This window comes from Homo sapiens, chromosome 17 (assembly GCF_000001405.40).
Source record: "Homo sapiens chromosome 17, GRCh38.p14 Primary Assembly".
Classification (NCBI taxonomy): domain Eukaryota; kingdom Metazoa; phylum Chordata; class Mammalia; order Primates; family Hominidae; genus Homo; species Homo sapiens.
Window position 1 is genome coordinate 46,354,199 of NC_000017.11, and position 24,012 is coordinate 46,378,210.

General features: G+C 45.0%; 2 protein-coding genes and 1 pseudogene across 8 annotated transcripts in view, besides 1 other annotated feature; 2 read left to right on the forward strand and 1 right to left on the reverse strand.

Moving 5' to 3' along the window:
• ARL17B (ARF like GTPase 17B) overlaps nucleotides 1–7,589 on the reverse strand; it is an 87,604-nt gene extending 80,015 nt beyond the window's left edge. For 4 of the 5 annotated variants that reach the window (NM_001103154.2, NM_001352769.1, NM_001330240.1 and 1 more), the window contains exons 1-2: nucleotides 7,478–7,589; nucleotides 4,052–4,216 (exon numbers count right to left, since the gene is read on the reverse strand). In NM_001103154.2, coding sequence (NP_001096624.1) covers nucleotides 4,052–4,199 — 148 coding nt within the window. In that variant the 5' untranslated portion in view covers nucleotides 4,200–4,216; nucleotides 7,478–7,589. The remainder of the gene's footprint in view (nucleotides 1–4,051; nucleotides 4,217–7,477) is intronic. The other variant, NM_001039083.5, reaches the window with a different exon arrangement.
• Nucleotides 7,505–7,799: an enhancer, noted in NCBI's record as "tiled region #7330; HepG2 Activating non-DNase unmatched - State 24:Quies, and K562 Activating DNase unmatched - State 9:DNaseU". NCBI's record gives its function as "activates a minimal TATA promoter and a strong SV40 promoter by Sharpr-MPRA in HepG2 and K562 cells {active_cell/tissue: HepG2 | K562}" and the evidence as "EXISTENCE:reporter gene assay evidence [ECO:0000049][PMID:27701403]".
• The window catches only part of LRRC37A2 (leucine rich repeat containing 37 member A2), a 676,337-nt gene continuing 670,918 nt past the window's right edge, over nucleotides 18,594–24,012 (forward strand). For both annotated transcript variants that reach the window (XR_007065300.1, XM_047436147.1), the window contains exon 1: nucleotides 18,594–18,668. Coding sequence is in view for 1 of the 2 variants with exons in the window: in XM_047436147.1 (XP_047292103.1) it covers nucleotides 18,657–18,668 (12 nt within the window). In the remaining variant the exon portion in view is untranslated. The remainder of the gene's footprint in view (nucleotides 18,669–24,012) is intronic.
• Nucleotides 18,615–24,012, forward strand: part of NSFP1 (N-ethylmaleimide-sensitive factor pseudogene 1) — a 50,285-nt pseudogene continuing 44,887 nt past the window's right edge. The window contains exon 1 of the transcript NR_033799.1: nucleotides 18,615–18,668. The product of NR_033799.1 is annotated as an N-ethylmaleimide-sensitive factor pseudogene 1 (transcript). The remainder of the gene's footprint in view (nucleotides 18,669–24,012) is intronic.

Below are 24,012 nucleotides of genomic sequence, written 5' to 3' on the forward strand. Positions count from 1 at the left end.
TAACAGCTTTGGCAAATGTCTTCAAGGCCCCAAAACAAGGTGATCAGTCAAAAATGGAATTTAAGGTCCCTACCCCCAACCTCCTCCTCTGCTAGTTATCCCATCATTGACTTCGTTCCACAAGCTGATAGCCTGAGAGGTGCCCTGGAAACATCCGATGCTCGCACCCCTAGAACCCTACTACCACACCTTATCAATTCAACCCCTTCAACAACTAATAGTCACCCTAACCCAACAGACCATCATTTCTAGCCTCAATTCCTGAAACCATATAACTAATTTCACCTCAGCCACTCTCCCTCTCTCCATCCGGTCACCATCTTCTAAACAAAGCAATAGCTTAAAAACACATAGTGTGGTCACGTCATTTCTCTACACATTTATGTTTGATTGGAATATTTTCAAACTTAAAAAAGAAAGAATAATCGCCCCAAAAAATAAAATTAAAAATTAAAAAAAAAAGAAAGAATAAGCCGAGCACAGTAGCTCACACCTGTAACCCCAGCACTTTGGGAGGCTGAGGTGGGCAGATTGCTTTGAGCTCAGGAGTTTGAGACCAGCCTGGGCAACATGGTGAAACCCTGTCTCTACAAAAAAACACAAAGATTAGCCAGGCATTGGTGCCGTGTGCCTATAGTCCCAGCTACTTGGGAGGCTGAGACAGGAGAACTGCTTGAAGCAAACATTGCAGTGAGCTGAGATCACACCACCGCACCCCAGCCTGGATGACAGAATAACATCCAAGAAAGAAAAGAAAGAAAAGAGGAAGAGAGAGACAGAGAGAGAGAGACAGAGATGGGAGGGGAGGGGAGGGGAGGAAGGAAAGGACAGAAAAGGGAGGGAGGGAGGGAGGGAGGGAGGGAGGGAGGAAGGGAGGAAGGGAGGAAGGGAGGAAGGGAGGAAAGGAAAAGAAGGAAAGATGTCCCCTTAGCGGCTTCCCACACCCAAATCCCAAACATGACTGTCAAGACCCAAGCAAGCTGGGTCTGCTCACCTTCCAAACCTCAATTCTAGTCATGCCTTATTTTAGTGAGAGACACTCGTTACATTGCAACAATCTAAATTCTTGCTAAATAAATAAATACAATGCCATTCCAATCCTATAATGATGGTAGGGGCAGGGGCAGGAAACTTAGCAAAATTATCTAAAATTTAACCTGGAGAAATAAACAAGTAAGCATAACCAGGAAATCTCTGAAAATGAGTAATGAATTATTTTTAAGGATATGCCAAGCCCTAGTAACACTTGAATAGAGTTCAAATATAAATGCAACAGGTACTTGCCCAAAAAAAGACACACATACCAGTGAGAATTTAGTATGTAACAAAGAAGGCATTTCAAATCAGCATGGAAAAATTATTCAATAAATGACATTGAACAACTGTCTACCCCAGCACCGTCCAATACATAGTCACTAGCCATTTGTGACTATTTGTTTATGTTTTTGTTTTATTTTGTTTTGTTTTTGAGACAGAGTCTCGCTCTTGTCACCCAGGCTGGAGTGTATGGTGCGATCTCGGCTCACTGAAACCTCCGCCTCCCGGATTCAAGTGATTCTGCTGCCTCAGCCTCCCAAGTAGCTGGGATTACAGGCGCCTGCCACCACGCCCATTTTGCAATTTTAGTAGAGACGGGGTTTCACCATGTTGGCCAGGCTGGTCTCGAACTCCTGACCTCAGGTAACCCGCCTGCCTCAGCCTCCCAAAGTGCTGAGATTACAGGCGTGAGCCACCATGCCCGGCCTATTTATTTATTTTTTGAGACACAGTCTTGCTCTGTAACCTAGGTTGAAGTGCAATGGTGCAATATCAGCTCACTGCAACCTGTGCCTCCCGGGCTGAAGTGATTCTCCTGCCTTAACCTCCCGAGTAGCTGGGATTACAGGTGCATGCCACTACTAATTTTTGTATTTTTAGTAGATATGGGGTTTCACCACGTTGGCCACGCTGATCTCGAACTCCTGGTCTCAAGTGATCTTCCCACCTCAACCTCCCAAAGTGCTGGGATTATAGGCATAAGCCACTGCGCCTGGCAACGTGGCTATTTAAACTTAAAGTTAAAATCAAAAATCAATCAATAAATAAAAATAAATAAAAAATAAACTTAAAGTTAAATACAATTAAAAGTTCAGTTCCCGGCTGGACACAGTGGCTCATGCCTGTAATCCCAACACTCTGGGGGGCCAAGGTGGACGGATCACCCGAGGTCAGGAGTTCGAGACCAGCCTGGCCAACAGGGTAAAACTCCGTCTCCACTAATAATACAAAAATTAGCCGGGTGTGGTGGCGTGCACCTCTAATCCCAGCTTCTCAGGATGCTGAGGCAGAAGAATGACTTGAACCCAGGGGGCGGATGTTGCAGTGATCTGAGATCGCGCCACTGCACTCCAGCCTGGGTGACAGAGCAAGATTCCATCTCAAAAAACAAAAAAGTTCAGTTCCTCAGTTGCATTAGCCACATTTCAAGCACATGAACAGTCACATGGCTATTGGCTACGACACTAAACAGCACAGACACAGAACATTTTAATCACTGCAGAAAGTGCCTCCTGGGCAGCACTGGCTTATCCATTTGAAAAATTTAACCAAATTACTACCTTACACACAACCATCTCATAACTCGAACATTCTCCTCGGTTTCCCACTCCTCAATCGATGCAATCTCTGCAGCTACTGCCCAAGTTGAAAGTTGATCATTTGGAGACCAGGTGCGGTGGCTCACGCCTGTAATCCCAGCACTTAGCCGGGCAGATCATTTGAGGTCAGGAGTTCCAGACCAGCCTGCCCAACATGGTGAAACCCTGTCTCTACCACAAATACAAAAATTAGCCTTGCATGGTGGTGAACGTCTGTAATTCCACCTACTCAGGAGGCTGAGGCATGAGAATCGCCTGAACCCAGGAGGCGGAGGTTGTAGTGAGCCGAGATCGCGCCACTGTACTTCAGCCTGGGGTGACAGAGCGAGACTCTATCTCAAAAAAAAAAAAAAAAGAAAGTTGATCATTTGAGTCCTGTGCCTAATTCAATATTCAGAACAGAACAGTAGTAATGTTCACATGCCACCTGTGGGGTGTATCCTCAGTCAGAAGTTTGGATCTAGAGGCAGTTCACAAGGCAAAGATTCAGTTCTGTCAAAACTCGCTTTGTAAATCTCTTAACAAGCCCGTAAAACACAGTGCTGGTTCACAGTAAGAGCAGTGCAGCCAGCTTGTCTATTTCTCTAGTTGGACATCATCTCAAGCAGCTGGTTTGAGCCAGAGTGAAGAAAAATCACACTCCATCTCTAAGCACTGGGAGCGTACTTGGTGTAGAGATGAGATGCTGCCACTAAGGAAGGCCAGCTGGAACAGAGGCTGACTGAGGAGGCACCAGCAGATTCCCAGCTCCCACCTCAGCCTTCTGCTGGGACACTAGCTGCGAGGAATGAGGGGCAGAACTACCCTCCCTGTTTTGCCCATTATCTTTTTCTTTTTTGCCAAGCAAATGGGGTTAAATTTGCTTAGCCTCCATGTGTTCACATGTCTCCCTTGTGAACCTAAGAATGTGCAAGCCACTAGAAAAGGATACATAACCTGGCCAGGCGCGGAGGCTCATGCCTGTAATCCCAGCACTTTGGGAAACCATGGCGGGAGGATCGCTTGAGCCCAGGAGTTCAAGACCAGCCTAGGCAACATGGCAAAACCCCGTCTCTACTAAAAATACAAAAATTAGCTGGGCATGCTGGTGCACGCCTGTAGTTCCAGCTACTCAGGAGGGAGATGGAAGGATCACTTGAGCCCAGGAAGTTGAGACTGCAGTGAGCAGAGATGTACCACTGCACTCCAGCCTGGGTGACAGAGTCAAAAAAAAAAGAAAAGGATATATATAACCTGGTTTTTGGCCTCTAAAAATGTATGCTCATGGAGTAGACAAGATTTTTAAAAAGAATTATTCAATAACATAAGAAGCATGTAAAAATAAAACATATTTCTCTGGTGAAACAGAACCTAAAAAATATATATAACATACTAAATTGTAAACTGGAATTGCCACAGGTCTTTCATTAACTTACCTACTGTAGGGACGGCAGGCACAGTCTCCCCCAGCTTCAATTTATACAAGATGGTGGTTTTTCCAGCTGTATCCAAACTCAATATAAGAATCCGCATCTTTTTTTTCCCAAGTAGACTTTTAAAGAGCTTTTCAAAAATGTTTCCCATTGTAATTTAATCGAATTCTGTAACATGACAAGAAAAGCAAGCCAAATAATTGTTCTCTGCAGAGATATAGAAGCAACACGCAGAAAATACAAGTGTCAATTAGAAATGGCTCCCAGGAAAAATTCAACAATTTTAGGTACACTTTGGCCAATGAGTAGTGAGTCTTGTCTTCAAAGGGAAACTCAACTAAACCTTTCCATGCCTTACCAGAAAATTCTATTTTCCACTGCAGCATCCAAGAGGGATATGCAACATAGCCTCAGCACTGCTATGACAGTGGCAGCCTTTAGTCATTTAGTACAGAAGTACAAGGCCAGGTGCGGTAGCTCACGCCTGTAATCCCAGCACTTTGGGAGGCCAAGGTGGGTGGATCACCTGAGGTCATGGGTTCAAGACCAGCCTGGCCAACATGGTGAAACCCCGTCTCTACTAAAAACACAAAAATTAGCTGGGCACGGTGGTGCACGCCTGTAGTACCAGCTACTCAGGATGCTAAGGCATAGGAATCACTTGAACCTGGGGAGGCAGAGGTTGCAGTAAGCCAGGACCACGCCACTGCACTCTAGTCTGGGCAACAGAGCAAGACTGTCTCAAAAAATTAATTAATTAATTAATTTTTTTTAAAAAACAAGTACAGAAGCAATGATACAACAAATACAACTATACCTCATTCTAAACTCTACTGAAATGAGAATTTATGAAACAGAGAAGCTTTTTATTTTATGCAATATAAAACAAAGTCTTTAAGACAGGTTAAACAACAATATCCCTTGGAAACGTAGTAGTTCCTTATGGCTAGCAGACACCTTGGAAATAACCTAAGAAATTTCAGAGGCAAAGAAATTCAGCGTTGGGAAGCTTCACTGCCAAGAGAGATAACTTGGCAGAGTTGAGGAGGCACCACAGCATCCAGTTTTCGTTTGAGTTTTTTGTTTTGTTTTGAGACAGGGTCTCGCTCTGTCACCCAGGCTGGAGTGCAGTGGCACAATCACGGCTCACTGCAACCTCAACCTCCCCATCTCAAACAATCCTCCCACCTCAGCCTCTGGAGCAGCTGCGACCACAGGCATACGCCACCTCGCTCAGCTAATTTTTGTATTTTTTGTGGAAATGAGGTCTCACTATATTTCCCAGGCTAATCTCGAACCCCTGGGCTCAAGTGATCTTCCCACCTCAGCCTCCCAAAGTGCTGGGATTACAGGCGTGAGCTACCAGGCCCAGCCAGTATCCAGTGTTCTATTGCTGTAACTATCACCTTACTCTCAACCAGTTCTTAGAACTTTTTATTTAAGTATAATTTACATACAGATATAAACATACATGATAACTGTAAAGTTCAATACATTTTCATGAACCAAACACACCTATGTAACCAAATCAAGAAAAGATGATTTATCAGGCTGGGCACAGTGGCTCATGCCTGTAATCCCAACACTTTGGGAGACCAAGGTGGGTGGATCACCTGAGGTCAAGAGTTCGAGACCAGCCTGGCCAAAATGGTGAAACCCCGTCTCTACTAAAAATACAAAAATTAGCTAGGTGTAGTGGCACACACATGCAGTCCCAGCTACTCAGAAGGCTAAGGCACAAGAATCACTTGAACCTGGGAGGTGGAGGTTGAAGTGAGCCAAGATTGGGCCACTGAACTCCAGCCCAGGGCAACAGAGTGAGACTCCATCTCAAAAAAAAAAAAAAAAAAAAATGATTATCAGACCAATTCTCCTTGTGCCTCCTCCCAGTCATTACTCCATAAAAGGTAATCACTATATTGACTTCTAACAGCATAAATGTTCAATATTTTATTTTTCAGTAGAAATCATGGTAGGTTATATAAAGTAAGTCAATAGTAAAGTCAGACTAACTTACAGAAATTTACAGTCTCTTTGAGATCAGCCTACTTGAAATGTGAGCTTGACATTCTAAGTAAAGACTTACAAGCAGTGCTGGGTCTACACCTCTAACTAAGCTCTTGGAAGTCTGTAAAGATCTTCAGACCAGGCAGGGTGGCTTACCCCTGTAATTCCAGCACTTTGGGAGGCTGAGGCAAGAGGGTCACTTTAGTTTTTGCTTACTGAGATAACAGAAGACAAGGGAGGATTGCTTTAGGCCAGGAGTACAAGACCAGCCTGGGCAACATAGCGAGACCCTGCCTCTATTTTTAAAAATAATAAAACAAAAAAAAATTCAAAAAGAAAAAGACATACATCCTTGTTCCAGAGACTGTGATTTATTTTCTTTTTAAATTGCTAACCAAAGAAAGCTTTACTCCTGGGCAGGGGAGGAGGAAGACACAAGGAGGATAGCCAATCTCCCATTCATTCGGACTCTGGTAACCACAGAGCGGAGGTAACCAAATTCCACAGGCCTCACCGCTGAAATTCAACAGTGGCCAGCAGTAGCTTAATATCATGGATTACGCCCAAGTACACAACATTCCTTTCTAGGATGAGAGAAAGCGAGCACAGAATTTATCCTGTTCACAAATGTGGCGTAAGTGACCAAAGAATGATAAATGTTTTAATCATTCAAAGAAAGTCCATTATAGGTCTATAAAAGTCCAGTGCATTGCAGCACTCAAAATCTTGCCGGGCGACAAAACTAGAGATTCCTTTTCTTTGTTTCGAAAAACAAATCTCACAGATGAGGAGACTTTTCAGGAACATGCTGGGGGAGGGAAGGTACTTCCCGCTCAGATGCCCCTTGAGGCAGCTAGTCCCAATTCCCCCTGCCAACCGCACAGACACACCACCTTGACCTCCCTCTCCCTTCTCTTTCCTCTTATTGCTACTCATGTGCCCCAGGCGCCCGTGGTCCTGACACCCCTGCGCCGCTGGAGACCCCTCTAAGGTAAGATGGCTCCGACTACAGGGCCTTTTTGGCACGCTCAGTCTCCCAGCCCCAAGCGCCAAAAGTGCATTAGGGAGAAACGTCGGCACGACGTCAAGGGCGCGAACAAGCGTGGTGGCCCAGGTGAGCGTGCGCGGCAGCCAGGCACGCCCGGCTCCCGGGGAAAGACGCCCCTTTTTTGCCCCGGCTGCCAGGCCGCTCCTTCTCAACTTGTGCGCCCCTGGAAGAGCAAAGAGAGGGCCCTGCGTGGAACCTATGAAGCCTCCTTCGGTTCCTCGCTGCTCCGGCCCTAGAGAGGGCGAAGAAGGAACAGCGGAGCCCAATCCCTTTCCGAAAGCCACCGCCGCCCTCCAGTTTCTGGCCCGCAGACGAAGTGGAGATCCAGCCAGGTCTTGAGTGCTGCCGCCCCATCCCTGCAGCCGGAGACTCACCTGTTGCCACTCAAGGTACCGCTACCTACAACACCGCCGACTCCGCGGCCTTTAGGATTTCAGCTCAGTTCAGCTAAACCACGACAGGCGTGGGGGCAGGAACAGCAACCAACCAATCACCCACCGCCTCCTGGAGCTTTTGCACCAATGAGCTCGAAGTTTTGTGAGTGACGACATATCTGGCCAATGCAAAGAAGAGTAAGGGCCTGGGAGGGAGGGAGCGCCGTAGGCGACGCCATGAAGCTCTGGCAATACCATGTTCATCTTCAAATCACAGTTAAACGAATTCTGGCGAGACACGCCCACGTCCCCCACCCCCGATGCCATGTGCGACCAATCAGAAAAGCAAAAGGATTGTCTATTTGCACGGCCAATCAGCTGGGAAAATCGCCGAGGTTTGAGCTAACCTCGGAGCGTCCACACCAACCGGGAGGGGACATGTGGGCCGGGCCAAGTTAATAGTGCCATGGAAGGAAATTTACCGCGGTTGAGTTAAACGTAGACATTAGTTTGGGGCGGTGTTCCGCGTAGGAAATACCACACACTGACACTGAAATTAGGCATAAGGAAGTTTTCCTATTCCGCCTGAGGCTAGACTGCCCTCCCACCTCTACACAGATTTTCAAGTTGGGGAAAATACTGGCCACCCGCACCTCGTTAAGACGTCGCAGAACCAGTCCTCGTTTCCGAGAAATGCTTTCTATAGTCAGTTCCCTAAATGCCCAACTTGTTAGCTAAAGAGGTTACAAACGCCTGTAAATGGTACATAACTGAAATCATCAGAACAACAAACATCTATTAAACATATACTATGTGCCAGAAACTATATCAAGAACTTCAGCAGGCCCGGCGCGGTAGCTCACGCCTGGAAGGCCAAGGCTTTGAGCTAGGAGTTCGAGACCAGCCTGAGCAACATGGCAAAACCCCATCTCTGCAAAAAAAAACAAATTTAAAATTAGCCGGGCATGGTAGCGGCTGTAGTCCCAGCTACTCGGGAGGCTGAGGCAGGAGGATCACTTGAGCCCAGGAGGTAGAGGCTGCAGAGAGCCGTGATCACGCCACTGCACTCCAGCCTGGGTGACAAAGCGAGACCCTGTCTCAAAAAACACGAACAAAAAAAGTTAGAAGATACTGCTAGAATTGACTAAATAAATAAATAAATAAATAAGAAAAACAATGTTACCTGCAGGACCGTAACGCCCAGTGAATTACAAACTATTATCCCTGGCCAGACGTGGTGGCTCACACCTGTAATTCCAGCACACTGGGAGGCCGAGGCGAGCAGATCACCTGAGGTTGGGAGTTCGAGACCAGCCTGACCAACATGGAGAAACCCCATCTCTACTAAAAATATAAAATTAGCCGGGCGTGGTGGCACACGCCTGTAATCCCAGCTACTTGGGAGGCTGAGACAGGAGAATTGCCTGAACCTGAGAGGCAGAGGTTGCAGTGAGCCAACATCGTGCCACTGCACTCCAGCCTAGACGATAAAGCAAGACCCTGTCTCAAAAAAAAAGAAAGAAAAGAAACTATTATCCCTGCTGTTTTACAGAAAAATATTAAGTAGCCTGGGTCTGTCCCACTCCCACACCTTAATCTTTTTCTTTCTTTTTCCTTTTTTTTTTTTTTTTGAGACAGGGTCTCACTGTCGCCCAGGCTGGAGTGCAGTGGTGCGATCTCGGCTCGCTGCAACCTTTGCTTCCCAGGTTCAAGTGATCCTCCTGCCTCAGCCTCACAAGTAGCTGGCATTACAGGCATGTGCCACTGCGCCTGCCTAATTTTTGTATTTTTAGTAGAGACAGGGTTTCACCATGTTGGCCAGGCTGGTCTTGAACTCCTGGCTTCAAGTGATCCACCCACCTCAGCCTCGCAAAGTGCTGGGATTACAGGCATGAGCCACCGCGCCTGGCCACCTTAATCTTTTTAAGCAAATACAGAATGGAAACTGCCCTCACAGGATTAAGGAGAGTTACAAGCCAGGCTTTAGGCAGCATTATATATAGTTAGCTGTTATCCAGGGTGCACAAGTGTACTTTGACCCACTTCCCTGCAGCTGCTAACTCACTGAACATCACTCCACGTGCTAGACCACCTCCTACCTGTTTCTCCATGGTTCTTACCATGAGTAAGAATTTCTGACGCTAGACTCATAAGATCGTTTTGCCCAAGAACGGGTTGTTTTTCAGATCCTGAATTCTGACGTCCCCAACCAAGGAACCCACTCAGCACAAGAATGAGGTTTCTTGGTCTCCCTGTCTCATGACTTCGCCCTTCACTTCTTGACCAATCATCGATCCCCACACTGCAGCCCCTGTCCAGAGGACTTAAAAACCCTGCCCCCCAAACCTCTCAGGGAGGTGGATTTGAGGCTTCTTCCCATCTCCTCATTCAGATGCCCTGTGATTATTAAACTCTTTCTTTGCTGCAGCCAGGTGTCTCTGTATGCTGACTCACTGTGCATTGAGCAAACAAAACTATTAAATTACAGTACTACTTACTCTTCTAATTACAGTGCTTATATGTATGAGGGTTAATATAAATACATATGACTCCTTAAAAATTAAAGTATGTTTTTTCTGACTATAAAAATTATACATAACCGGGTGCAGTGGCTCACACCTGTAATCCCAGCACTTTGGGAGGCCGAGGCGGGCAGATCATGAGGTTAGATCAAGACCATCATGGCCAACATGCTGAAACCCCGTCTCTACTAAAAATACAAAAATTAGCTGGGCGTGGTGGTGCATTCCTGTAATCCCAGCTACTTGGGAGGCTGAGGCAGGAGAATTGCTTGAACCCGGGAGGCGGAGGTTGCAGTGAGCCGAGATAGAGCCACTGCACTGGGTGCAGAGCCTGGGTGACAGAGTGAGACTCTGTCTCAAACAACAACAACAACAACAAAAAACTCATGCTAGTTTAATTTTCATTTATTTGATGACTTGCTATTTTTCCAAATGTTTACTAGTATTTTTATTTCATCTATTAGAAATGATATATTCATGTCCTACTGACTTCCAAGGGAAAGATAGAAAGTTGTTTTGCCAGGAACTATGAAGGTTGTTTGAATGGAGTCATCATAACCTAAAAAAAAGGTGAAATAACGAAGGTGAGATTTTTACTTACCATTGTTTGTTCCTACAGAAGGAATGCTGGAGCTGATAATTATGAGAATTTATCCTTCCATCCCTCATAGCCTAAGAATATTCATTATTTTCCCAATATCTGCACTGAGCCTGTAAACCAAAATGTATCTGAGACATGTCTCAATCAATTTACAAGTTTATTTTGCCAAAATTAAGGATGCTTACCTGGGAGACAGGCCTGTGCCTTTTTCCAAAGGTGATTTTGAGGGATTTAGTTTGGTTTGTTTGTTTGTTTTTGAGCCAGAGTCTCACTCTGTTGCCCAGGGTGGAGTGCAGTGGTACAATCTTGGCTCGCTGCAACCTCCACCTCCCAGGTTCAAATGATTCTCATGCCTCAGCCTCCCAAGTAGCTGGGATTAACAGGCGCGTGCCACCACTTCTGGCTAATTTTTGTGTTTTTAGTAGAGACGGGGTTTCACCATGTTAGCTAGGTTGGTCTCCAACTCCTGACCTCAGGTGATCCGCCCACCTCAGCCTCCCAAAGTGCTGAGATTACAGGTGTGAGTCACCGCGCCCGGCCAGAAGGATTTAATATTTTATTTATTTATTTATTTATTTATTTATTTTTATTTTTGAGACAGAGTCTTGCTCTGTCACCCAGGCTGGAGTGCGGTGGCACAATCTCGGCTCACTGCAACCTCCGCCTCCTGGGTTCAAGCCATTCTCCTGGCTCAGCCGCCCCAGTAGCTGGGATTACAGGCGCACACCACCATGCCCAGCTAATTTTTGTTGTTTTTAGTAGAGACGGGGTTTCACCATGTTGGCCAGGCTCGTCTCGAACTCCTGACCTTATGATCCACCTGCCTTGGCCTCCCAAAGTGCTGGGATTACAGGCGTGAGCCACGGTGCCCAGCAAGGATTTAATATTTAAAATGGAAAAGCAGGCTGGAAGGGAAAGAAGGAGAGTATGGTCACATTACTGAATTCACATGTTGCAAGAGACAAGGAGCAAGTAGGGGAATAGTCAATTATGTATTACTCTCGTGCTTACCATAAGATAAGGTGGACATAGAGTAGTTAGCTGCAGTCAGTCCTGCTTAGGAATGAAAGGAAAGGCAACTTCTTGCATGACTCAGCTTTCAGCTTAATTTTTTTTCTTTTGGCAGAATGAATTGGGTTCCCAAGTTTTTATTTTCCTTTCACAAGCCTCTGAATAAACAAAGTTCCTGCCCACATGGCATTCAATTGCTAAACAATTATAATCACATAAATACATACACATATACGTATATGTTTTATATATATATATATATATAATATATATTTAATACATACGTCCGGGTGCAGTGGCTCACACCTGTAATCCTAGCACTTTGGGAGGCTGAGTTGGGTAGACTGCTTGAGCCAAGGAGTTCAAGCCCAGCCTGGTCAACATGGTGAGACCCCATCTCTACAAAAAATACAAAATACAAAAATTAGCTGGTCATGGTGGTGTGCACCTGTAGCCCCAGCTACTCAGAAGACTGAGATGAGAGGACTGCTTGAGCCTGGAAGGCAGAGGTTGCAGTGAGCCAAGATAGTGCCACTGCACTCCAGCCTAGGAGACAAAGTGAGACTCTGTCTCAAAAAACAAACAAACAAAATACATTCATATAGAGAGAGAAAAAGAGGGAGAATTTTATAATGATATGCATGAGGAATGTATAGGGGAAGAGGCTAAAAATAGGCCGAACTTACTAGTGAATATATTCAGGAGGTAGGACTGTGATTGTTTTTAAGTGATCGAGGGAAAATAGTGTACTGATTTTAAAATGGAAAACTCAACTTATTTTTTAAAAATTAAAACTCTGACAAGAGGGAGGTTTAATTGAAATCACAGTGGCTGCTCAGGGAAGTTTATAAATCTCGAACTGCAACGACTCAATAAGCATGAATTGCTTGTGATGATATTGACTTAATAGAGTTATTTTTTCCTTAATAGAAAACACATCTTATCAATATAATGTTATTTGTAAAGCATGGAAAGGACAAAGTGCTCTTGGGAGAAGTAGAAAGAGAATTTCACTCTGAGAAACCTATTTGGAGAAAGCTCCTCATCTCTGGCTTAGACTTTAAAATTAGTTAATAGTGTAATTAGGGATAGTTGTAGTAATAGTGGTATTGGTATGGTAGTTAGAGTTTAAATGTCACACAGAATACCCAGACCACCTTCCCCCAAGTGCCACTAAACTTATTCTTCTAATCAAACCTCTGCTCAAGGGATGTCTTCTTCCTCTCTTGGAAAGCTGTGTTCCTTACCTCAGAAACAGCCCTCCATAAACCTGCCCTTAAGAGAATCCTTGGCCAGGCACAGTGATTCACGCTTGTAATCCCAGCACTTTGGGAGGCCAAGGCGGGTGGATCTCTTGAGGTCAGGAGTTCGAGAGCTGTCTGGCCATCATGGTGAAACCCTGTCTCTACCAAAAAATAAACATTAAAAATAAAAAAATTAGCCAGGTATGGTGGTGCGTGCCTGTAAATCTCAACTACTTGAGAGGCTGAAGCAGAATTGCTTGAACCTGGGAGGCAGAGGTTGCAGTGAGCTGAGATCGTTCCACTGCACTCCAGCCTGGGCAACAGAGCAAGACTCCATCTCGAAAAAAAAAAAAAAGAGAGAGAGAGAGAATCCTTAAGACACGCCTTCTTGGATGCCCTCTGGAGAAATGTCAAGAGTAGCCAATATAGTCACCCCAGTCGGCTGTGGTGTGTGGGCCTCTAGTGTTTTAAGGTTCTAGGCAACTTAGCCCCTCCCAGGAGATGCTGATTTACTTTTCTCAAGGTGCATAAAGTCTCATCACACCAATATCTGAAAAATCTCTTTTCAAAGAGATGCAGGCAGCCTTCCAGCCCCATGATGTTAATACACAGGGTTAGGCAGCCTGGCAAGTGCACTGGGGCCCCCACTGAAGGATCATCTGGTTTCCATAGCAACAGTCCTTCCTTTCCACGGAGGATTCTATCATCTCTCCTGCTCACTCAGGCTTTCCAGAATGAATTGTTTTTTGTGACTATAGGTGTTTGTCCTTGATCCTGCAAAGAGAAAAGACATATTCATTTAAAACAAACACCCCCCACCCCGCCCCGCAACTGACTGCAGCTAGAATACTGCATTGCATCAGCTGGTCTTCCTTTCATTTAAAAATTCCATGTCCTTTCTCCATTTTGCTCCGTTCTCTAGCTTTATCCATCATTTTAGAAAACAGGTTTCTCTGACAGAAAACAAACAGATGGCAACTCCATCATCCTAAAACTGGCTGTGACGGGGCTCTAAAATTAAGTGTTCATGGGGCTCCCAGAAAGCCTAGGCTTGCATGGTATGTGTGGCTGACCTGTGAGTTACGATTGGAGGGGCAAGAGAAGGCTTTCTATACACAGATGGCTCCCCATACAGTGTCACAGTCTCTGAAGTGTTGCCTTTTGAGGTTTGTTTTCTTAGGTCAGGCACTGCTGTCCTGTCAGTATTTTCCTAAATTGCCAATACTCCTGGGAAGAGTAATACGTTAGGTTACTAATACTGAAAGAACTTGGGAAAGAGAGGAGGGGGTGCAGCGGGAAGGGAATAAAAGGGGCTCTGAAGACCACCTTTGTGTGCTTCACAGTGACATCTTCTGCAAGAGGGGAAGTGCAGGTCTTCATCTCTCTCTTTGTCTCTCTCTGTCACACACACACACACACACACACACACACACACACACTGCAGGACGCCTTCTGACAATTACAATACAGTAGTGAATTCACCGAACAGGACTGTTCCCTGAAACACCTACATACAATCCCGCTGGAAGACCTTTGAAACAGCCCTGCAGTGACTAAAAACTCTGTCCCCAGTGCCACTTGTTTAACCCTACAGTTTCCACAGACTAAAGGTAGTTTTCCTTTGGTTAATATGAAAACACCAAATAGTCAGATTGCTTTGTTAAATAAAGTGGATTACGGTGAATCTGTTCACTTCTATGTTTTATATTGCCCTCACTCCACAAATCACAGAAGATATTTATTTTTCCCCCAGTTAAATTCTGTTACCACAACCATTACAAACAAATGTCTATATAACCAAAATGTTAGTCAGCCCCATTCCAATGGAGCACATTTTAAGTGATGTTTAATGGGACATAATTTGAACATAAAATTCTATCTGTGCACTGTTTTCAAGTCTTTGAATCAGGCCTCCACCTATAGATGTTGGTTACCTATCAGGGAGCAACAGGTGATGCTAAGGATCACTTTGTAAAAACCAGGAATCACATCCCTGTAACTGACAGGAAACTGACTATATTCATCAGGGTTCTCCAGAAAAATAGAACTAACAGAATGTGTATATACATAGGAGGAAATTTTGTTTAAGGAATTGACTCGTGTGATCGTGGAGACTTTGGGAGCCCAAAATCTGATGGGAGAAGCTGGCATGCAGGAGGCCCAGGGAAGAGTTACAGTTCTAGTCCACAGGTAACCTGCTAGAGAATTCCTTCTTGTTCTGGATGAGTTTGGCCTTTTGTCTATTCAGGCTTTCAAGTGATTGGATGAGGCCCACCTACATTATGGAGGGCAACCTTCTTTACTCAAAGTCTACAGATTTAAATGTAAATCTCATCCAAAAACACCCTCACAGAAACATCCAGAATAATATTTGATCAAGTATCTGGGCAACATGGCCAAGCCAAGTTGACACAGAATTAACCGTCACACTGGATCACAAGGGCTGTGTTCAGCAAGAACTGACCTTGGTCAAACCCTGCCCCTGCCCTTATGCCCCACTCTTCTTCATTCTGGGTCCTGCTATTTCCATTTTATCATGTCTTCATCTTCTTTCCCCACCTTTCAGGTACCTTTCCTCTCTGACCCTATCCCTAGACTCACCTCCTACCCCCCACTCAAAGCCCTTCCTTCCTTAAAAAATGATGTTAGTCATTACACTTTAGGATTTAAATTAATCATTCTGTTAGCCGTCTTACTAACTTTCTCACTGTGAAAGGAAAGCATATTAAAAGAATTTCAGGGATCGACGAAGAGCTGAGGGAGGTATTTTTCTAGGAAGAGAAAGTGACTAACAGAAATCAAGACAAAGGGGGACAATCAGATTTTTCAGATGACAGAAAGCAGGTAAACTCTAGAGATCTAGAGAACTAGCAAATGGTCTCTTCAGGGTGTCATCATTGCAGTAAATGAGCTCTAGCTATTTCTGTCTTTATTCTTCAGGGTATTCAAGATTGCAGTTACTTAGGAGAGACAGAGCATCTGACTGATTGAACTTGGGTTCTGTATTCACTCCTGGGCCAGGGGGAGGCAGGGTACCTGGTCTGACAGTCCTTCCAAGGCTGCATGAACCAGAGGAGCTGTTACCAGAAAAGGGCAGAGTGAATTTGGGGCAGCAAAAACATTTATTGCTTATCGACTATCACTGCAAGGATTACTCAGAGGGTGATGCAGAATCAGCACCCCTCTATTTCTAAGATGACCTTGAATGTCAGAGCAAGGCACAAACAGGTTGCAGAGACATGTGGAGTATCTGGAGCACTGTCTCAGGATCCTTCCTCTCCTGCTGGATGCTAAGGACCTTAAGGACAAGAGCTATCTTTGCTTGCAATTTATTTGGCAGGCCCTGCAGGGCTGTGCAAATGATTCTATTTAATTTTTACTACTTGTGAGAAGGCACAGAGGGCTTTGAGAGGGCACAGAGGGCCTCTTATAATGGGTAGATATGCACATTAGCTGATACACTGGAAACTTTCCAGCAGGCATATCCTTCCAAGATGATAAATATTCTTCCTTGTTGGAGAAATTGAAGACATTTGTACTTGCAATCTAGCTTATCTAGTAAAACAAGACAAACTAACCAGTGATAGGGAGAAACATGTTTGCATTATTTTCCAACCTTGAAAATAATGTCAGATTATTGGACTGAGAACCAATGTCATCTTCTGGATCTTGTAATTATTTGGACAAAATCTCTTTGATTCTAGGTTCAAAGTCAAGGTGTCAAAAAAAAAAAAAGGATACAACTGTTAAGCTTATTTAATTATACCTCTCACTGTACAAATAAGGAAACTAGGCCAGGCGTGGTGGCTCACTTCTGTAATCCCAGCACTTTGGGAGGACAAGGCCAGTGGATCACCTGAGGTCAAGAGTTCGAGACCAGCCTGGACAACATGGCAAAACGCTGTCTCTACTAAAAATACAAAAATTAGCTGGGTGTGGTGGCAGGCGCCTGTAATACCAGCGACTTGGGAGGCTGAGACAGGAGAATAGCTAGAACCCGGGAGGCGGAGGTTGCAGTGAGCCGAGATCATGCCACTGTGCTCCAGCCTGGGTGACAGAGTAAGACTGCGTCTCAAAAACAAACAAACAAAAACAAATAAGGAAACTGGGCTCAGAGAGATGAAGGTACACAGGTGATGGGTAGATAGGGACAAAGAAAAGAACCTAACCCTTTGGACTCCCCAAGCCATTCTAATATTTGTTTTTGTAAGTTAGTAGCTTCTGCACGTTAGTATGTCAGAACTCAACTAGTTTCCTATCTTTCCTGATAACCTCTCCGACCCACCCATGATTTAGCTAACATCTGATTTGGTCAACCAAGCACCCTGGTCCTCAGGTTCAGTGTGAGACTTAATGAAATAGGCGTGAATTTTTTTTTTTTTTTTTTTTTTAAACGGAGTCTCGCTCTGTTGCCCAGCCTCGCAATCTCAACTCACTTCAACCTCTGCCTCCGGGGTTCAAGCGATTCTCCCACCTCAGCCTCCTGAGTAGCTGAGATCACAGGCGCCCGCCACCACGCCCGGCTAATTTTTGTATTTTTAGTAGAGACGGGGTTTCACTATATTGGCCAGGCCGGTCTGGAACTCCTGACCTTAGGTGATCCACCCAAAGTGCTTGGATTACAGGCATGAGCCACCGCGCCTGGCTGGCATGAATTTTTTCTTCTGTCCCTAGTTCATCTTCAGGTCACTGTCTGATTTTATTAGTTCTCAAATTTAAATCACTATGCATGCTCAGCTCTTCTAGTTATTTCCCTTCTTTCCTCATGTTGGGAAAAAAACCCCGATTTATTCTAATTGTGAGAAATGAAAGCGAACAAATCCTATCATTCCCTATTGTCTTGTGCAAATATGAAGAGAGATATGATAGTGGGGTAAATAAAAGCATCAGGGAATCCATTCGGCAGAATCTTTCTCCTCTCAGCGTGCTTGCAGTTAGATATTCTGAGATTCCAGTGGAGAAATGGTATGGTGGAAACATTGAGGTTCAACAAGGCTCAATTTAGGGCATATTTTATTCAGATTCTACCATATATATTGTCTAAAATGAAACAACACTGGGGAATGAAAAGGTTGGTCGAAGATGCAAGTTGCCTTTATTAAATAAAGACAAATATTTAATAAAAATAATGTATAAAAATAATCACAATTCACTTTCAAATCTGAAAATACTGAGTTTTCCAGGCTACACATAAATAAAACTGCCAACGATGACAATTCCAGCAACTAGGAAAACAAGTACGCCTACAAAGAAAAGTGAGAAAATTCATGGAGAATTTGAACTCAGAACCAACTCCTCGGAGCTGATCTTTTTTGGGGGAAGCCAGGGAACGCGCCGGGCGCTCTCATCAGCAAGACCATGTTTAAAGAGAGTGTGGAAGCACAGACCAAAATGGACATTCGAGGGCGAACAGCAGCTGGCAAAGGGATAAGTGATCCGAAGCATTAAAGCCCTTGAGACAAATTCCGGCGCGAACCGCCAGTGGGGGATGAGACTCGCAGGCGCAGCCCTCCAGGCCCCGGCGGACTGACACGCACGTTGGAAACGGAGTCACCCACCACAGCCCCGCAGCTCCAGCCAAAATGGCGCCGCCGCTCTGCCCACCCCGCGCACCCCAGGCGGCCGCCGAGCCCGCGCGCGCGCCCTGTGGAGCGAGGACGCCGGGGACGCGGCCAGGGACGCGCGCGTCCTCACGGCGGTTGCACGCCTGCGCGAGGGCGGGCGGCGGGGGCGCGCGCGCGGCGGGGGCGGGCTTTGCCGAGCGCAGAGCTGCAGCCGCCGAGCCGGACGTGTCCGCGAAGATGGCGGGCCGGGTGAGTGCCGGTCTGGGAGCCCAGGCTTGAGGCAGGGGCGCCGGGCTCGCGGGCACTCTGGGGTCCAGGCGGCCCCAGAGGAGTGGGAGTGAATCCGAGCAATGGGGCGCGAGGCCAGAGCGGGACTTGAGGGTAGCAGGGGAGCGGTGGCAGGGGATTAGCCCTCCTCAACAACTCCACCCCCCTCGAGGGGAGATGACCCCTCGTTACACGCGTCTGCTGCGCCTCCCGTCATCCTCCCTTCCCATCCCTTGGGGCTTGTTCCCTCGTCCTCCACACAGCCGCAGGGTCGCGGTCGCCGAAGCCCCCTCTGACGGGCTCTGGGGGTCTTTCCGCACCCCCTTGCGAGGGCTTATTAGGGGGCGCCGGAGTAACTGCCGGGAGCACCTCTGCTGCATTCGGGGCAAGGGGTGTAGGAAGGATCTTCAGGAACCCATGTCTGGCTCTTCACAAATTAAAGGTCGTTGGGAAAGAGGAGGGGGTGCCAATGACTTTTAGTGTTAAAGCCCGGCCATCTGGGGGACCTGTCAACTGTCGGGTCAGGCAGGAATTGGCTTTAGCTTGGAGTGAGGATGGATTTGGGGTGTCACGTTTTGTTTTTATGGATGACACTCGCTTCGAATGCAGCAGGATATGCTGTAGTTTCAGGGTTTTAAATTTACTTCCTCCTTTAGCCTTTAGGATCGTTGGGTAGGATGGGTTTGGCGAGGAGAGAGAGCTGGTTGAGTGCTGTATTGCAGTCTGCCTTGAGCTAAAAGCTCTCAAGGGATGAGTCCTGCCCGGAGATTACACTGGTCATAAACCTGAGGACATTAACTGCGTCATTGGGGGTGAAAGATGTGATTGACTGATCTATTTATAACAGAATTTTTGAATAAGTTTGCATAGATTTATGCATATATGCAAATGCCCTATCTGAAGGGACTTGTAGGTCATGAGATTCTAGAGTAAGAAGGGATCTTAAAGGTCATTTAGTTTGGCTTCTTTCTCTTCCTTTTCCCCATGGCCTCTCCTTTTAAGGCTAGTCCTTCTGCCAGTACTTCAGACCCTATCTGTATATTCACCTGCTCCTTCTTAACATAATCAAGCTTCTCTATCTTAAACCCTTCCCCCACCCCCACAGCTGTCACCTTTTCCCGTCCCAGTTTACAGCAGGAAATTTGATAGAGTTGTCTATATTTATTGTCTTCCATTTGCTTACCACCTACTCACCCTTCAACCTACTGCAGTCTGATTTCTGCCCCATCATCCCACTGAAACCTGTCCCTCAACTTAATTGATACCTTTCAATCCTTATCTTATTTGATATCTCAGCAGCGTTTGACGTTGTTGACCATGGCTTCCTTGACGGAAAGCACTCTTCACATGTGTTCTGGAATGCCTCGCTCCTGGTTTGACTCAGACCTCTCTTTTGCGGCCTCACCCTCCTCTACTTTGTTATTCATTGCTGGTATTCCTCAAAGGCCGTCTTCTCACTCTCAATTTCCCGCTCAGGCAATTTCTTCTAAGCCCATAGCTACAACTGTCTATATGCCAGTGATTCTCAATATTTTACCCCCAGTCCAGACCTGCCCTTTAAGTTTCAGGTTAATATGTCCAACTGCTTATTTAAAATCAAGGTCCCGAAACGCAGCTTTTTCAACTCCGAACCCAGGATCTTAGCCCACCTAACTTGTGTAGATACTCCTCGACTTAACGATGGGGCTACCTTCCGATAAACCCATTGTAAGCTGAAAGTATCAGAAGTTGAAAATGCATTTAATACACCCGATCTACCGAATATCATAGCTTAGCCTAGCCTGCCTTCCTTACACATGCACAGAACACTTACATTAGCCTACAGTTGGGCAAAATCATCTAACATAAACCTATATTATAAAATGTTGAATACCTCATGTCATTTATTACTGTGCTGATAGTGAAAAACAGAATGGTTGTGTAGGTCTTCAAAGTACAGTTTCTGCTGAATGCCTATCACCTTTGCACTATTGTAAAGTTGAAAAATGTTAAGTCAAACCATTGTAAGTCAGGGACCATCTGTACCTATCCAGTGAGATAGGAATATCTCACTGAATGATACCATCATCCACCCAGTTATATAGGCTGGGAATCTGAGGGAGGGAGAGGGTGGGTAACCCTTTATATCTCTCTTTTGCTGTACCCATGTCCTCTGCCCTATCCCCCGGTAAAATTTGTCAGAGTTCTGCTCCTGCCCCCCATAAAGGTATTTAATTAGGGCCAAAGACTCTGGTTTGGGGGAATGGTTGCTTTAGACTAGTTCCAAGTCACCCACTGGACTATCTGGATTGGTCACATGGGTTCTGTCATTTTAACCTAAAAATCTCCAGTCTGTCCACCTTTCCACATCTTCATTTTTACCTCCTTTTCCCAAACTACCATCATTTCTGGTCTGGACTACTGCAGGAAGCTTCCAAGTATTTTTTTGTTCGTTTGTTTGAGATGGAGTTTCGCTCTTGTTACCCAGGCTAGAGTGCAATGGCGTGATCCCTGCTCACTGCAACTTCCGCCTCCTGGGTTCAAGCCATTTTCCTGCCTCAGCCTCCTGAGTAACTGGGATTACAGGCGCCCACCACCACACCCGGCTAATTTTTGTATTTCTAGTAGAGACGGGGTTTTACCATGTTGGCCAGGCTGGTCTCGAACTCCTGACCTCAGGTCATCCACCTGCCTTGGCCTCCCAAAGTGCTGAGATTCGTGCCCGGCCTCCCAAGTAGTCTTCTTAGAGCATGTGGCCCACCTCCAATTCATTCTTGACCTTCATTGTTCCTTCCCGTGCCTATTACTACTTAAACCCCTCCTCAGCAGCATCCCATTACTTTTGGGAGAAAACCAAATCCTTAATGAGGCCTTCAGGACTCTTTGTGGTTCTGCTCCTGCTTCTTTCCACTCATTCTCTTACTCTGTGTGCTCAGGTTATATGGTAAACGAGCCTTTCAATTCCTTGAACCTGTAGTTTCTCTTACCACAAGGTCTTTGCGAGTGGTGTTTCCTTTCTTTGTAACGTTCTTCCCCCCAACCATTTACCTCCTACTCAGACATCACTTAGCTACTCAAGGGAGGCCTACTCTGACCCCACATTATAAGTCAGGATCCTTTGTTATATACTCTTGAAGAACTGTATTCCTCTCCTTAGAGATTTATCTTTTTGTTACTTTGAGTGTGTGTTATTATTTGCTTCTACCACTTCACCTCAGTGAAAAGCAGAGAACATACAAGTTATTTAGTCATTATCAACTGCGCTTTGTGTACCTTGTGGGACTTAGGTACTCAATACATTTTTGTTGAAAATGAATCAGTCTCTGAACACTCTGGTGATAGATGGTATATTACCCTAAAGCTTGCCTGTAATGTCATACAGCTATGTTAGGTCTTTGTTATCTGGAGTTCCATGTAACTTTTATACGTAGTTACTATTTCTGCTGTTTCAAGCCATACGGAACTAAACACAATTCTTTTTCCATGTAATAGCTACTCAAGCTACTCATTTACTTGAATACAGGTTACATATCTCCTCAGATTTTCGATTTTGCAAGTTAAACATCCCCCAATTCCTAGCATATTTCATATTCCAAACCCTTCATCATTTAGGCTACCTTCCTCTGGAAGTAACCTAATGTTACTGTTTTGTCAACCTTTCTTCTAAAATGTGCCCAGAGTGGAACACAGTGATCAGAGAAGAATGTACTTAAGCTATTATTGTCTTGAGATGGACACTACCATTATTCATACCAGATAAAATTGTATTAGCGTTTTTTCTATAGTAAATCACATTCTTGGCTCATACTGAGCTTGTAGTCAGTGAAAACTCATGTTCTTTTAAAATCAGCTCCCTAGCTCCATTCTAGGTTTAGAGCAGTTTTATTGAACCTAAATCAAGACCTTATCCTTTTACAATTCATTTTTTTAGGTCAGTGCATGTCTGCTGTTTGTTGAGGTAATCTGGATTCTTAGTTCTTTCATGTTAGGAAACATAATAGCTGTCTCTTCCAGTTTGGTTAGATCTGTAGGTTTAATCATGACTTCTGTTTCTACGTTTGAGTTATTGGTAAAGGATAGAATAAGACAGGGTCAGAAATAACCCTTGGACATGCTGCCAGTGACATGCCTCTAGACTGATACCCATTAATACACTTGGGCACTGTTGCTTAAATACAGATGTGTCTCATTTAATTCCAACAAAACAACCTGCAAAGTAGGTAGTATTATCTTTGTTTTTTTGCAGAGAGAAAGAGAGAGAGATTTAGTAACTTGAGAAGTTCACATAGCCAGCAAGAAGCAGGGTCAAGATTTGAACTCAGATCAGCCTGGTACTGTTACCTAGTTCACCAGCTTAGTTGCAAGAGTGTAGTAAAGACTAGGTTTACCTCACCTAGAACTTTTTGGACATAATAATGTTCAGAAACTATCTTCTACCTTTTGGAAAATCTGAAAAACTTTGGCCCATCTGATTGTCTATCATTTCTTCTGATAGCCTTTATTTTCTAGTAACTACTGAGTGATTTTTAGCAAAAATAGTTCACCTTGTTGCAATACTTTTATTTGTGCATATTTATGGAGTACATGAAAATTTTTTTACATGTGTATAATGTGTAGTGATCAAGTCAGGGTACATGAGTCCAATGTATTAAGTATAGTCATCTACTCAGCTATCAAACATTGAATTTATTCCTCCTATCACTGGATCTTTTTTTTTTTTTTTTGAGACGGAGTCTTGCTCCGTCACCCAGGCTGGAGTGCAGTGGTGTTATCTTGGCTCACTGCAACCTCTGCCTCCCGGGTTCAAGCGATTCTCCCGCCTCAGCCTCCTGAGTAGCTAGGATTACAGGCATGTGCCACCACGCCCAGCTAATTTTTGTATTTTTAGTAGAGACAGGGTTTTACCACATTGGTCAGGATGGTCTTGGACTCCTGACCTGGTGATCCACCCGCCTTGGCCTCCCAAAGTGCTGAGATTACAAGTATGAGCCACCGCGACTGACCTCATTGGATCTTTTTACCTTTTAACCCACTTCTCTTCAGCCTTTCTCTCCCTTACTCCGCCTTCCCGGTCTCTGTTATCTATTTTTCCACTCCCTGCCTCCTTGTGTTCAAATTTTGTAGCTCCTACATATATGTGAAAGCATGCAATATTTGTCTTTTTGTGCCTGGCTTATTTCACTTAAGAGAATAACCTCCAGTTCCATCCACATTGCTGCAAATGATATGATTTCATTCTTTTTATGGCTGAATAGTATTCCATTGTGTACATGTATGACATCTTCTTTATCCATTCATCTGTAGATGGACACTTAGGTGGTTGATTCCATATTTTTGCTATTGTGAT